Source organism: Homo sapiens, chromosome 1 (assembly GCF_000001405.40).
Source record: "Homo sapiens chromosome 1, GRCh38.p14 Primary Assembly".
Taxonomy (NCBI): Eukaryota; Metazoa; Chordata; class Mammalia; order Primates; family Hominidae; genus Homo; species Homo sapiens.
Genome location: NC_000001.11, coordinates 25,245,521 through 25,260,785, shown reverse-complemented (window position 1 = coordinate 25,260,785; position 15,265 = coordinate 25,245,521). Strand labels below are relative to the sequence as shown.

Here is a 15,265-nt window from a genome sequence, read left to right as displayed (position 1 = left end):
GAAGTGTAAAAGCAGAGGACAGGCTCTATGAGGACACAGGGAGGAGGCAGCCATCTGCAAGACAGGGAGAGAGGTCTCACCAGAAACCAGCCTTGCCGGCACCTTGAACTTCCAGCCTCCAGAACTATAAGGAAATAAATTTCTGTTGTTTAAGTCTGAGTGGCTTAACAACAGTTTAAGCTGCTGTTATGGTAGCCCAAGCCGACTAATACAACACTTAAGGATTTCAGTCACTGAGTGGAACCACCTTAGAATGTGAAAGACAATGAGGATATACACACAGCCTCCTTCCCCTGTGTTTGGAGGGTGGCTTCAAATTCCTTCTGTTTTATGTGCTGTGTAGGGAAAAAAAAATCTGTAAAATTATGTGAGTTTGTAATTGATAGATTGGTTCTCTTTCGTGCAAATAGTGCTTATAGTTTAAAAGTCCTAGAAAAAATTCACAGTCACATTTTCTGTATGTAACTACATTTATGTAAGTGAAAACTTGGTAGTTTGTTGGCTTGTTCATTTTTATTTTTCAAGTATTGTGTAAACAAAAAGAACCTTGGTCTGCCAGAATTTTCAAAGAAAATTGGCAAAACAAGATTCCCCATAGTAGCAACCATACATATAGCTATATTCAGTGACTAAATGGTGTTTATGTGTTTCTTAAGCAATGGAGTTCATTTTGACCAATTGTCTGTTAAGAAGTGCCTAAGAAAACCGCTTATTCATTTTCCACATCCTGTTTGGCAAAGTGTGACACATAGCAATAGAAAACAATAATATAATCTTGGGATGCGTATACAATCAGTGCACAGAGAGCTGTCGTATCAGCCTTCAGAAGAGCATTTAAACACTGCCACACGCTGTCCGTCTGTTTGTCCTGCAACCAGGTTCTCCCCTTGGTCTCAGTGGAAGCCTGAATCACAAGCACTGCCACGTTCACAAAGCTGTTAATTCTTCAAAACGCCAAATGGTATTCAAAAAGGGAAGTATAGGCTGGGCACGGTGGCTCACACCTGTAATCCCAGCACTTTGGGAGGCCGAGGCAGGCTGATCATGAGGCCAAGAGATCCTGGTGAAACTATCCTAGCCAACATGGTGAAACCCTGTCTAGTAAAAATGCAAAAATTAGCTGGGCGTGGTAGTGTGCACTTGTAATCCCAGCTACTCGGGAGGCTGAGGCAGGAGAATCACTTGAACCTGGGAGGCGGAGGTTGCGGCGAGCTGAGATTGCGGCACTGCACTCCAGCCTGGTGACAGAGTGAGACTCCGTTTCAAAAAAAAAAGTATAAAAATCTGAAGACTCTAGTGGTATAATCTAATTAAGTTTCTATGAAGCACATGATTGCAGTCATGTCAAAGCAGTTTCTATGAGCACACTGTTAACTGTTAAAAAAGCAAACAAGGCCGGGCACAGTGGCTCAGGCCTATGGTCCCAGCACTTTGGGAGGCCGAGGCAGGCAGATCACTTGAGGTCAGGAGTTTGAGATCAGCCTGGCCAACATGGTGAAACCCCATCTTTACTAAAAATACAAAAAATTAGCCAGATGTGGTGGGTGCCTGTAATTCCCAGCTACTTCGGAGGCTGAGGCAGGAGATTCGCTTGAACCCAGGAGGCAGAGGTTGCAGTGAGCCAAGATGGTGCCATTGCACTCTAGCCTGGGTGACAGAGTAAGACTACATCTCAAAAAAAAGAAAAAAAAAAGGGAATAATAATAAATTAACCTTAGCTTACTGGATGACCACCATCATATATGCAGTCTGTTGTTTACCAAGATGTTGTTATGTGGTACATGGCTGTATTTTATTGTTGTATTCTACAGTGCATAATAAATGGTGAGATTCTCCTCAAAGAGTGGCAGAGAAAGGATTCAACTCCATTTTCTCTGACTCCAGTGCCTGCGCGAACATTGGATAACACCTCTAAAATGACAAAGTGTTTTCTAGGCCAAATCTCCTATGATGCCAAACTTCTTATAAGAGTACAAATGCAGTTTTTTTTTAAGAGATATTTATTTCATTGTTTGGTTCCAGAAAGAAAGATAATTCTTTATGCTTTAATACTCAAAGTATTTGGTATAATGACTGAATATTAAAAATTTAAATGAGTTTTTATTACATAAAGCAGTATTCTTGTTCATTCAGTAGATAAAAATTTTTGGTTTTGAACCTACTGAGAGAATAATTGGAACTAATTATTTATGTCATAGCAACAGAAACCTCAGATAGCTTTGAGAGGAGGACAGCAGGAGCCAGTCTCACAAACGCAATGACAGGGTCTTCCAAAAAGTCTTCTTCTCCCATGAGAACACCAGTTGCCGGCTGGGCACGGTAGCTCACACCTGTAATCCTAGCACTTTGGGAGACCCAGGCAGGTGGATCACAGCGTCAGGAGTTCAAGACCAGCCTGGCCAACATGATGAAACCCAATCTCTACAAAAAATACAAAAATTAGCCGGCATGGTGGTGCACATCTGTAATCCCAGCTACTCAGGAGACTGAGGCAGGAGAATCACTAGAACCTGGGAGGCGGATGTTGCAGCGAGCCGAGATTGTGCCACTGCACTCCAGCTTGGGCAACAGATCGAGACTCTGTCTCAAATAAATAAATAAATAATGAGATTATGCATTTTTGTAGTGTAGGTGTTTCAGGTATTTGTTTAAGCAAAGCATATGTTAAGGTTAAAAGCCTTTGGAACACTCTGCCCCCACATCCTGGAAGCGTTTTCTTTCCTCCCATCCAGTTAGGTAAAGCTACTTGCCATCTCAGTGTATTCAGTCAGCTTTTAGGAAATAGATTATTTCTGATGAATGAGGATCCTGCTGCTTCACAAGTAGATGTTGACACTCATGGCTCCCCAAAGTCTGCCTCAAATCTATTTCTGTGGGCCAGGTATGGTGGCTCACGCCTGTAATCCCAGTACTTTGGGAGACTGAGGTGGGCAGATCACTTGAACCTAGGAGTTTGAGACCAGCCTGGGCAATGTGGAGAAACCCTATGTCTACAAAAAATACCATCACCAACAAAAAATTAGCTGGGCATGGAGACGTGTGCCTGTAGCCCCAGCTACTTGGGAGGCTGAGGTGGGAGGATCACTTGAGACTGGGAGGTTGAGGCTGCAGTGAGCCATGACTGCACCAGTGCACTCAACCTGGGCAACAGGGCGAGACTCTGACTCAAAAAAAAAAAAAAAAAAAAATCTGCATCTCCAGCCTTATTTTCCAAAATTCCCCACAATAAACCCTTTGCTCTAGTCAAGCTAGTTTTTCTTCTATCCCCAAATTCTAAAATGGGCATTTCTAACTCCAAGTTTGCTAAGACTTTTGTTTCTAAAATATTATTTTCCCTCTGCCTGTTCCCTTCAGACCTATTTGAGATTCTTTTTCATTTGTTCATTCAGTAAACACCAATTGAATGCCAAATGAAATACACTGTCTGGAATGCTGGGGTAGAGTAAGAACAAGTTTCTCTCCTTATGTAATTTATATTCTGGGAGGAAACACACATTAAAAATAAATTAAAACCTTAATTATTTAATTACAAGCGTGATAAATGCTAAAAATAGGAGGCACAGGAAAGCAGGATAACCTATAATTGGAGGAAAACCTGTCTGGGAGATCAAGAAGGCATTCCCATACATTGTCGTGACAACCTTTTTTGGAAGGCAATACTGAAGTGTATTAAATGACACAGCTCCTTCGACCTAGCTGTTCCACTTTAGGAATAAAAGTAATATAGCAATAAAAGTAATACTACTTAAAGCAGCATGTGGCTTTGGCTCCCAGTGAAGTTGCAGGTGTTACAAAGCATAATATGCCTCCAAGCCAGGCTGCCCAAAAGGTCAAATCCAGAAACCAGTCTAATAGACTGAGGAAAGCAAGTGAAGGTAACTTGACACGCCATAAAGAACTGTTCAAGTGAGTGGACTCATTGTGAGATGCCTGATGCACTCCAGAGAAATCAGATTTAGGTCCAATAGCATAATACAAGAAGTCAAGCACGTGAGGGCCTCCTGTGAGATCTCGATGGGGCAGCCAGGCACGGTGACTCACGCCTGTAATCTCAGCATTCTGGGAGGCCAAGGCTGGAGGATCATTTGAGCCCAGGAGTTCAAGATTAGCCTGGGCAATATGGTGAAACCCCATTTCTACAAAAAAATACAAAAAAAATTAGCTGGGTATGGTGGTGGTGTGTGCCTGTAGTACCAGCTACTGGTGGGAGCTGAGGTAGGAGGATCACCTGAGCCTGGAAGGTTGAGGCTGTAGTGAGCCATGATCACACCACTGCACTCCATCCTGGGTGACTGAGTGAGACTCTGTCTAATAACAGCAACAAAATCTCAATGGGACCCAGCATGGTGGCTCATGCCTGTAATCGCAGTGCTTTAGCTGACTGGGATGGAAGATCTTGCCTGAGGCCAGGAGTGTGAGAACAGCCTGGGCTACATGGACTTTACCAAACACTCTTTTTAAAAATTAGTCAGGTGTAGTGGCGCATGCCTGTAGTCCTAGCTACTCAGTAGGCTGAGGCGGGAGGATCGTTTGAGCCCAGGAAGTTGAGGCTGCAGTGAGCTAGGATGGCGCCACTGCACTCCGGCCTGGACAACAGAGCTAGTGAGACTCTGTCTCTTAAAAAAAAAAAAAAAAAAAGATCCGGATAGAAGACTTCCAGGAAAAACTTATCCATTAATAGCGTTTAACGAAACAGTTGCTGAACATGGGAACAACGTTCAGAGCTGGTTCTCTGAGCACATTTGTTTTATTGGCCCGAATGGTTGATATGTATCACCCTTTGCCAATGGAAGGTGGTCTCCAACCCCCCATTTGTGGCCTGTTAGGAACCAGGCCGCACAGCAGGAGGCAGGCGGTGGGCGAGTGAAGCTTCATCTGTATTCACAGCCACTCCCTATCACTTGCATTACTGCCTGAGCTCCACCTCTCGTCAGATCAGCCGCAGCATTAGATTCCCACAGGAGCGAACTCTGTGCATGCGAGGAATCTAGATTGCCACTCCTTATGACAATCTAGTGCTTAATGATCTGTCACTGTCTCCCATCCCCTCAGATGGGACTGTCTAGTTGCAGGAAAACAAGCTCAGGGCTCCCACTGATTCTACATTATGGCAAGTTGTATAACTATTTTATTATATATTACAATGTAATAATAATATAAAGTGCACAATAAATGTAATGCACTTGAATCATCCCAGAACAACCCCCCACCCCCAGCTGTGGAAAAATGGTCTTCTACGAAACTGGTCCCTGTTGCCGAAAGGGTTGGGGACTGCTGCTCTATAAGATCCCATTTCACTGGTTGTAAAAATAATGGCTTCATTGCATTGTACCTTGAAGTAAAGGTTATTTGTTGTCAGCATGAGGATCGAACAGTTCATCTTTACACAGGGCCAGACAAGTGCTAAATCTCCTAAGACATTACCTGTGATCATTTGGTTGTTGAGTCAAAGTTGCAAAAATTAAGTATGATCAAGTAGAGGCCGTGAAAGGATTTGGGGGGAGCAGGACACAAAGTAGACTGCATATAACCTTCAAAAAGGAAGCCTCTTATAGCATCAGTAACTTAGCCTTCTATAGTATTTCTCGTTTTTCTGTTCTGGACCCAGTTGACATTCTCCAGTTATTCCATTGCCCATGACTGTGCCATCACCGAAGTTAAATTCCCTGTGAAGTTTGTGTAACATAATCCATATATGGTTAATAATGGTTTCTCTGATGTTAAGGTGGGTATGGTTGAGATGGCTCTTCTGACTGAGTAGCAACACCGTAGTGAGCAAAAGTGTGCGTGGAAGAGTTATATTTTGTGCAAAGCAGACCAGTCCTCAAGCAATACAGATGGCCATTAGGCACGGACGTGACTGTCTCATTCTCAGTTACACAGAGGCACCAATCGGTTCTTCCGTTGTAGTGACACTACCAGTAATTGCACCTGTATGACTTATCAAGAATAATATTGACAAATACATATCTGGATTTGTGTGTTGTCCTTTTGCTTGCCCTGGTTTCAGTAGACACCCCCCAAAGCTGAATGATGTGATACAGAACTATTCGGCTGGGCCTGGTGGCTCACGCCTGTAATCCCAGTGCTCTGGGAGGCTGAGGTGGGCAGATCACGAGATCAGGAGTTCGAGACCAGCCTGGTCAACATGGTGAAACCCCGTCCCTACTAAAAATACAAAAAATTACTTGGCATGGTGGCAGGCGCCTATAATCCCAGCTACTCAGGAGGCTGAGGCAGGAGAATCGCTTGAACTGGGGAGGTGGAAGTTGCAGTGAGCTGAGACCACACCACCGCACTCCAGCCGGGGCGACAGAGTGAGACTCTGTCTCAAAACAAAACAAAACAAAAACCTATTCATAACATCTCTATATGGTGGCTGTAATTGGACAGAGTCATCGGCTTCCCTGGTGAATATTACAGATAGCATCTTCACATACTAGGTATTCATGGCAGGGAACAGATGTGTTAAATTTATCAAGGGTGCCTCCTGTATAGCACTGCAAGCCTGATATTTCCACACTACAGCTATCAACCCAGGAAACCATCACTAAGAGGAGCAGTAGGAAGATCAGCTGACTTACACCAAGGCTCAGTAATTGCAAACAGTGGAGTGAGCTCCTATGGGGTGATGGTTCACCCAGCAGCAGGAATTCCTTGGGACATCCTAAAAAAGGCCATGTTTGTTGATGTGTTAATTGCCTTGAATGCTTTACTGGTGACTGTAGCTATGATTCTATAGCAGCCCTAACAACGGAGATGTCTAATCTCAACTAATCTCTGATCTAAGATCAACAAATGTATCATCTGTGTCAAAATCACTCAGAGCTCCTTTTTCCTCTTTGTAGCTCTCACACTTTGGATACGCTCCTCTAATCCTGTCTGAAAGAGCTAAGCTGACCCCCACCACCGTTGGAGGAAACTCCTGGAGCAGTGCTGGGGTTTTCACTGCAATCAGCTGCTCCAACTTTGTCTTGTACATGGCTCTTTGACCTTGGGCTTGTGGATTAGGGGCCTGTGGAGGAGCTCTGTGACTGCTCTGATATCTGTGGATGGTTCTGAGGCATTGTATTTAGTGAAAAAACTGGAAACCATATGCATGTCCATGAATAAAAAATGGGGCATAGGCCGGGCGCCGTGGCTCACACCTGTAATCCCAGCACTTTGGGAGGCGAGGTGGGCGGATCACCTGAGGTCGGGAGTTCGAGACCAGCCTGACCAACATGGAGAAACCCCATCTCTACTAAAAATACAAAATTAGCTGGACGTGGTCGCGCATGTCAGTAATCCCAGCTACTCGGGAGGCTGAGTCAGGAAAATCGCTTGAACCCGGGAGGCGGAGGTTGCAGTGAGCCGAGACCGTGCAGCCTGGGCAATAAGAGCGAAACTCCATCTCAAAAACAAACAAACAAAAAAACAAAACAATGGGATAGACCAATTTCTAGTACTTCTAAACTATGGAATACGATACAGCTGATAAACCAAAACACATTAGATCTATGTGATTTCTCTTAAAGGATGTTGATTATAAGTTTCAACTTGTTTAGAACGAGCCCATATTCATCAAAAATTCTGTATGCACCGATGTGGTGGCTCATGCCTGTAATCCCAGCAGTTTGGGAAGCCAAAGTGGACAGATCCCCTGAAGTCAAGAGGTCGAGACCAGCCTGGCCAACATGGTGAAACCCCTTCTTGTGGAGTAAAAGTTAAATATTAAATTTGAACTCAATTGGACTTGAACACAAGGAATGGTTACGTGCCAGAAATCTGTCCCTGGGCACTTGCTCAGGAACGGATGGACATACTGATTGTTCTTGATAAATACATCATCTGCCTCGAGGCAATAAACAAAACCTTGAAAATAGGCTGACCTTTCCGTGTTCCTTGAGTCCAATGACAAAAGGCCCTTGTGCCTAGGCCTCATGCCAAAAAGAATACTATAAAAAGGTCAGGCCAGGTGCGATGGCTCATGCCTGTAATCCCAGCACTTTGGGAGGCCAAGGTGGGCGGATCACCTGAGGTCAGAGGTTCGAGACCAGCCTGGCCAACATGGTGAAACCCCCATCCTACTAAAAATACCAAAAATTAGCTGGGCGTAGTTGCTGGCGCCTGTAATCCCAGCTACTCAGGAGACTCAGACAGGAGAATCCCTTGAACCCAGGAGGCGGAGGTTGCAGTGAGCCGAGATCGTGCCATTGCACTCCAGCCTGGGCAACAAGAGTGAAACTCCGTCTCAAAAAAAAAAAAAAAAAAGGTCAGGGTCCCAGACTACGCTGAAGCTCCACGAGACCTCTCCTTCTCTGTGCATGGACCAGTGGCTGACTCTGGAGCCTAGGCTGTTGCTTCCCGGTCTGGTGATGAATCCTCCATTGTCTGGTGAGTGTATATATGCTGATTGTTTTTTTTTCCTCACTGCTATTTGCTCAATGCACCTTCTATTTTATACTTAAATGAACCTAAAGTAGTTTACAATCTGCACTTATGTGTGAGTGCTGTGTGTTTGCTTGTACCTGTGCACTCCCCACACAGAACATGTCTCTACTAAAAAAAAAAAAATTAGCCAGCTGTGGTGCATGTGCCTGTAATCCCTGCTACTTGGGAGGCTGAGGCACGAGAATCACTTGAACCTGGGAGAGGGAGGTTGCAGTGAACCGAGATCATGCCACTGCACTCCAGCCTGAGTGAGAGAGTGAGACTCTGTCTCACAAAACAACAACAGCAACAAAAATTAGCCAGGCGTGGTGGCGTGCACCTGTACTCCCAGCTGCTTGGGAGGCTGGGGCATGGGAATCACTTGAACCAGGGAGGCAGAGGTGGCAGTAAGTCGAGATTGCACCACTGCACTTCAGTCTGGGCAAGAGAGCGAGACTCTGTCTCAAAAAAAAAAAAAAAATCTATATGTGGGTATATTTGACATGTCTTGAAGAAAACTGTGGAAGGGCACTCGTTAAACTGTTAACATTGGTTATCTCTAAGATATGAGGAAGAAGGATGGAGACCTCTTTTAGAGGATTCTATACCTCTAGGGAATGATCGTTAGCTTGTATACATCTTTGGATTCCTTTACCTGATAAAAAATTAGTTTTGTCATTAAAATTAACAAAAATATTAACTTTGAGCCGGGCGCAGTGGCTCACGCCTGTAATCCCAGCACTTTGGGAGGTTGAGGTGGGCGGATCACCTGAGGTTGGGAGTTGGAGATCAGCCTGACCAACATGGAGAAACCCCGTCTCTACTAAAAATACAAAATAAGCCAGGCATGATGGCACAAGCCTGTAATCCCAGCTACTCAGGAGGCTGAGGCAGGAGAATTGCTTGAATCCGGGAGGCAGAGGTTGCAGTAAGCCAAGATCAAGCCATTGCACTGCAGCCTGGGCAACAGAGTGAAACTCCGTCTCAAAAAAGAAAAAAAAAAGGAAAACTATAAATTATACTGAATGTTTTATTTTCCTATTGCTGTGGTAATAAATAACCATAATGTTAGTGGCTTAAAACAACCTAAATTTAATATCTCATAGTTCTATAGGTGAGGAGTCTCACCAGATTAAAGTCAAGGTGTCAGTCACATTTTGTTTCTTTTTGGAGGCTCTAGGGGAAGATCCCCAACACTAGCTCATCCATGTGTTGGCCGAATTCAGTTCTATGATGTGGGATTGAGGTCTGTTTCCTGGCTGTCAGCTGGAAGCCACCATTAGCCCCTAGAGTTCTTTCCCTGCCCTTGCACATAAGCCCCTACATTTCTTTCTTTCTTTTTTTTTTTTAATTATTTTTTTCTTTGAGTTGGAGTCTCGCTGTGTTGCCCAGGCTGAAGTGCAGTGGTGTGATCTCAGCTCACTGCAACCTCCGCCTCCTGGATTCAAGTGATTCTCTTGCCTCAGCCTCCTGAGTAGCTGGGATTACAGGCGGACGCCACCTCGCCCGGCTAATTTTTGTGTTTTTAGTAGAGATGGGGTTTCACCAAGTTGACCAGGCTGGTCTCAAATGCCTGACCTGGTGATCCGCCTGCCTTGGCCTCCCAAAGTGCTGGGATTACAGGCGTGAGCCACCGCGCCTGGCCCGCCCCTACATTTCAGAAGCAGCAACAGGGCATGGAATTCTTCTCATGCTTTGACTCTCTCCTGAGATTAGATTGGGCCTACCCAGATACTTCAGAATAATCTCATCTCCAGATCCTTAACCTTAATTACATCTGCATAATTCCTTTTGTCACCTTAAGGTAACATATTCACAGGTTCCAGGAAATTAGGGAATGGACATGTTTGGGAGGCGATTGGTTTGCCAACCATAATGAAGGACATAAACAAAAAACCAACTTAAATGGCACATTTAAAACTTGTTGTGATACCCTACCTTGTTTAAACCTGAGTGACTCTCTCCTAGCAGACAGAGCCGGACAGACTCCATTTTAGTTTCTTTGCTTGCAGCCCTCTTTATCCCCCTAAGGGAGTAACTAGTGCAAGCTGACTCCAAGCACATCCAGGAATTCACCTGCTGATAAGATATTGAGGCAAGCTGTACCAGCAGCTCCTGGGAATGTGCTCGGTGGAAGGTACCTAAAGCCCCCGCATTTATCTCTTAGTGATAGTTTAAGCCCCTGTACCTGGAACTGTTTATTTTTTGTAACTGCTTCTATAACCAATTAACTTTTTTAACTTTTTGCCTATTCTGCTTCTGTAAAACTGCTTCAGTTAAACCCCCCTCCCCTATTTAGACCTTAGTATAAAAGAAAATCTAGCCCCTTCTTCAGGGCCGAGAGAATTTTGAGCGCTAGCTGTCTCCCGGTTGCCGGCTAATAAAGGACTCCACAATTTGTCTCCAAGTGTGGCGTTTCTCTATCTCGCTTGGTTACAACATTGTCACATTCTTAGATGGGAAGATTTGCTATTGTAAAGATGTTATTTCTGCCTACATTAGCCTACAAATTCGGTGCTAGATGTTCTAATAACTAAAGTTGAATTTTTTTCATTAGGTGAGTGGATAGATGCTCAGAGAATATATACTGTTTAGAGAAATAAAGGAAGGTGACTTTGCAGACTTTAACTCAGGTAGACCGCGTATGTTTTTGAGACAAATACACCAGCATTCTGCACGAGGGCAAAGTAATGTTTCCCACTGTTTCCAAAATCCTGTTAATATCCAGGATTTGCTGGGCACAGTGGCTCACGCCTGTAATCCCAGCACTTTGGGAGGCCGAGGCAGGCAGATCACTTGAGGTCAGGAGTTCAAGACCAGCCTGGCCAACATGGTGAAAACCCATCTCTACTAAAAATACAAAAAAAATTAGCTGGGCATGATGGTGCACGTCTGTAAACCCAGATGCTCGGGAGACTGAGGCACAAGAATTGTGTGAACCCAGTACGCAGAGGTTGCAGTGAGCCCAAGATCACACCACTGCATTCCAGCCTGGGCGCCAAAGCGAGACTGTCTTAAAAAAAAAAAATTAGGATTTTTCTGGTCACCATTTTTTAGGCACACATTGACTGATACTTTGAACTGTCTACGGAGACTTGTTCCATCCTTTCCTATTCATAACCAAGAGCTCAAAACTGTATCGTAAGTATACTTTAGTTCCCCAACACATCATTTTTATACTTGTCAAATGTGAAACTCGTGTTGTTATTATTATTATTTGTTTCCAGACGGAGTTTTGCTCCTGTTGCCCAGGTTGGGTTGCAGTGTTGCAATCTCAGCTCACTGCAACCTCCGCCTCTCAGGTTCAAGCAATTCTCCTGCCTCAGCCTCCCGAGTAGCTGGGATTACAGGCGCCCGCCACCATGTCAAGCTAATTTTTGCATTTTTAGTAGAGATGGGGTTTTGCCATGTTGGCCAGGCTGATCTCGAACTCCTGATCTTAGGTGATCTTCCCGCTTCGGCCTCCCAAAGTGCTGGAATTACAAGCGTGAGCCACCGCGACTGGCCTCGTGTTATTTTTCTGTCCACTCACACAGCTTTATGAGAACTTTCGGCAAAGGTTTCTGATGGATGGGCATTGTATCTTCACTGTCTTGAGATTTAGAGAAGAAACTGTTTAAGAACTACTTCCATCATGATGCATCCTCAGGAGATGTGGATGAACTGCGGAGATGTGGGGTGAAGATGAACAAGAGATGAGTGAGTTTGTGTCTCCCTCTAAAGAAAGTGGCTTTTGTCAAAATGTACTTGTAAAGAAGTGTATAGGCTGGGCAAAGTGGCTCACGCCTGTAATCCCAAAACTTCAGGAGGCTGAGGCGGAAGAATCGCTTGAGCCCAGGAGTTGGAGACCAGCCTGGGCAACACAGTTAGATCCCGTGGGTAAAAAAGTGCAAAAATTAGCATGGTGGTGCATGCCTGTAGTTCCAGCTCTTCGGGAGCCTGGGCTGCAGTGAGCCGTGATGGCCCCACCACACTCCAGCCTGGGCGAGTGAGACCCTGTCTCAAAAAAAAAAAAAAAAAAAAAGGCAATTAACCCACAATTTTCAAGGCAATTGTTATGCTTTATTACAAGAAGTGTTTGAAATGCATCCCATTTGTAGATCCCTAGAAGTAAAATAGTCACCTTTGTTTACACTCACACCAAACACAGTTTTTGGAAGAGATATCGCAGACTTCATTATTATCCCCAGATTAAAGGTCAGTTTTGAGTCTTTTTATTTTGTCTCGACCTTATTACCTTCCTAGCCAAAACATGGAAGTAAAACATCTTTTCTACGTTAATACTGCATTTCCAGGGGTCTTGGGGTGTTCCGGGGGAGGGTGAGGTCCCCTCTCTGTCATGGCGGGGTGTGGACGCGGTCGCCTTCTCCTGGCGCCGCGGTACCTAGGACAGGAGGAAGAGGCCAGGAAGGGTCCAGGGAGGCTCAGGCCGGGTCTGCGACTTGCCGGTGGGTGGCGGCAACGACCCTGTGGGCACCAGCCCGTCAGACGGCCCCAGCTCCGAGCCCGGCTGCGAGCCCTCTCCAGCCTGCAGCCGCTCCTCTCCCGGCCCTACTCCCCGCCCGGCACTGACGTCCAGCCCCGCCCGTGCAGTGAGGCCAGAGCCTGGTGTAGCCCCACGCGGGGCCGTTCCATCTTCGAAGTTTTCTGGTGACTGGGTCGGTCCCGCAATTATCTCAGATCAGGGGGGAAGCCAAGGGCAACGGGACACCCTGATGTATCAAACACCTCCCCCTGGAGCCCCATCGCGCATGCGCACCCTGGAGGCAAGCGCTCGAGGCACAGGGCGCGGCTTGGGGAGGGAGGAGGCAGGGCGGTGGTTGGGCAAGAGAAGAGCCGCGCCCACCACGGAACATCTCTGCGCATGCGCCGGGGGCCAGCTTCTGGTACTTTTGACGCGTCTGCTAACGTAGTCCCTCAGTGCGCATCCGGACGTAGGAGGTGGAGGTTGTGGAATTCGCCGTTCGAAAGCAGGGACTAAAAGCCCCACTTCGTCTTACGTTCCGAAAGGAAGGCGTCTGTTGAGCCTTTCTCTCAGTCGTGAGGGAGGCGTCGACGGCGTGCGGTAAGTTTTCTGCTGACGGGGTCTCTCAGGACCACCGCAGTGGTCTCTCAGGAGTGAGGGACGGGAAACGTGCCGGGCCCCGCGTTTGGGGAACGCAGCGTTTCGCTTCAAGGCCGCGGCCTCAGGGCGCCGAGCGGGGTTTCTAGGGCTCGGTTCCTGTCGCGGCGGTCGCCGCCCGCGCCGTGGCTCCGCCTCCCGGAGGTTCCCCGACTGTGGCTTCCGGGTGGCCAGGCGCCGGCTTCCGCGACTCGACTTGTTTTTTCTCTCTTGGTTTTTTAGGAAGTCCTGAGTTGAGGCTTGCGGGATCCTTTCCGGAGAAAGCGCAGGCTAAAGCCGCAGGTGAAGATGTCCAACTACGTGAACGACATGTGGCCGGGCTCGCCGCAGGAGAAGGATTCGCCCTCGACCTCGCGGTCGGGCGGGTCCAGCCGGCTGTCGTCGCGGTCTAGGAGCCGCTCTTTTTCCAGAAGCTCTCGGTCCCATTCCCGCGTCTCGAGCCGGTTTTCGTCCAGGAGTCGGAGGAGCAAGTCCAGGTCCCGTTCCCGAAGGCGCCACCAGCGGAAGTACAGGCGCTACTCGCGGTCATACTCGCGGAGCCGGTCGCGATCCCGCAGCCGCCGTTACCGAGAGAGGCGCTACGGGTTCACCAGGAGATACTACCGGTCTCCTTCGCGGTACCGGTCCCGGTCCCGTAGCAGGTCGCGCTCTCGGGGAAGGTCGTACTGCGGAAGGGCGTACGCGATCGCGCGGGGACAGCGCTACTACGGCTTTGGTCGCACAGTGTACCCGGAGGAGCACAGCAGATGGAGGGACAGATCCAGGACGAGGTCGCGGAGCAGAACCCCCTTTCGCTTAAGTGAAAAAGGTGGGTGGGTCATTTACCTTTCCATTTGTGGTAATGTATGGTGGCAGTATATGAGTAGGCTAGGGAACCAACGTTGCTGTGTAGTTTCAATATTAGTTCCTTTAGTGCCCGAAATCTTTTTGGAGGAAAGAGGGAGGACATTACCTGTATTTAAGTGGACAGCATTCTCTTTAGGGTTAAAGGTCAACTGGATGTTAAATGGCTCAGGATGTAGGGAACTTTTTTTCCTATTGGCTGACTGTTCTTAGTGGGTGGAGCCTTTTAAATGTTATGATTAAGTTAAAGGTTCTAAGTTAACGTGATTGGGAAGAACAATATCAAAACACGCCTTCTTTTAGTTGACATTATTACTGAATAAAATTGGATTGTCGAGTATCCTAAGTGACCTAGGAGGCCGGGCGCGGCGGCTCACCTCTGTAATCCCAGCACTTGGGGAGGCGGAGGCGGAGGCGGGTGGGTCACTTGAGGCCAGGCGTTCCATACCAGCCTGGCCAACATAGCTCACTATCTAGTAAAAGTACAAAAATTAGCCGGGGGTGGTGGTAGAAATACACTTTAGTAGTGTATCAGTATTGGTTCAGTGGTTGTGATAATTATATAAAGAATCTACAGCAGAAAAACCTGGTTTTCAGAAATACATCTTTGAAGAGAAAGCAAAATAATATCACTATTAGCTAGAGAAAATTAAGTACAACAAAAAGACAAAATAATAGGACGCTCAGGCCTTTAGTCAAGAAAACAAAACTAATTGTTGAGATAATTTAAGAATTTTATTCTTTTCAGCAAGAAATGAGCTGGAGAATAGAATTTTCAGTGAATAAAGTTACACAGTTGTCCCTCTGTTCACTCGGGGGATTGGTGCCAGGATGCATATGGAACCCTCGCGCACACTTGGGGTTTACAGTCTCTCAAACACTGTGGTA

General features: G+C 46.5%; 1 protein-coding gene across 16 annotated transcripts in view, besides 5 other annotated features; it reads left to right on the top strand.

Moving 5' to 3' along the window:
• Positions 1–1,902: part of a meiotic recombination region, noted in NCBI's record as "upstream Rhesus box that can recombine with the homologous downstream Rhesus box", that runs on past the window's edge. NCBI's record gives the evidence for it as "EXISTENCE:nucleotide sequencing assay evidence [ECO:0000219][PMID:10845894, PMID:15752150]".
• RSRP1 (arginine and serine rich protein 1) overlaps positions 1–15,265 on the top strand; it is a 96,006-nt gene that overhangs the window by 77,469 nt on the left and 3,272 nt on the right. For 11 of the 16 annotated variants that reach the window (NR_135785.2, NR_135144.2, NR_135783.2 and 8 more), the window contains exons 1-2: positions 13,332–13,477; positions 13,757–14,342. Coding sequence is in view for 2 of the 16 variants with exons in the window: in NM_020317.5 (NP_064713.3) it covers positions 13,823–14,342 (520 nt within the window). In the remaining 14 variants the exon portion in view is untranslated. Of the gene's footprint in view, positions 1–13,331; positions 13,478–13,756; positions 14,343–15,265 lie in introns of those variants that run through there. The other 5 variants (NR_135788.2, NR_135787.2, NR_135789.2 and 2 more) reach the window with 1 other exon arrangement.
• Positions 6,172–6,689: an enhancer, noted in NCBI's record as "NANOG-H3K27ac hESC enhancer chr1:25580588-25581105 (GRCh37/hg19 assembly coordinates)". NCBI's record gives its function as "activates a minimal SCP1, AML or CMV promoter by ChIP-STARR-seq in primed H9 embryonic stem cells {active_cell/tissue: H9 hESC(primed)}" and the evidence as "EXISTENCE:reporter gene assay evidence [ECO:0000049][PMID:30033119]".
• Positions 6,690–7,206: an enhancer, noted in NCBI's record as "NANOG-H3K27ac-H3K4me1 hESC enhancer chr1:25580071-25580587 (GRCh37/hg19 assembly coordinates)". NCBI's record gives its function as "activates a minimal SCP1, AML or CMV promoter by ChIP-STARR-seq in primed H9 embryonic stem cells {active_cell/tissue: H9 hESC(primed)}" and the evidence as "EXISTENCE:reporter gene assay evidence [ECO:0000049][PMID:30033119]".
• Positions 13,092–13,816: an enhancer, noted in NCBI's record as "H3K27ac hESC enhancer chr1:25573461-25574185 (GRCh37/hg19 assembly coordinates)". NCBI's record gives its function as "activates a minimal SCP1, AML or CMV promoter by ChIP-STARR-seq in naive H9 embryonic stem cells {active_cell/tissue: H9 hESC(naive)}" and the evidence as "EXISTENCE:reporter gene assay evidence [ECO:0000049][PMID:30033119]".
• Positions 13,817–14,541: an enhancer, noted in NCBI's record as "H3K27ac-H3K4me1 hESC enhancer chr1:25572736-25573460 (GRCh37/hg19 assembly coordinates)". NCBI's record gives its function as "activates a minimal SCP1, AML or CMV promoter by ChIP-STARR-seq in naive H9 embryonic stem cells {active_cell/tissue: H9 hESC(naive)}" and the evidence as "EXISTENCE:reporter gene assay evidence [ECO:0000049][PMID:30033119]".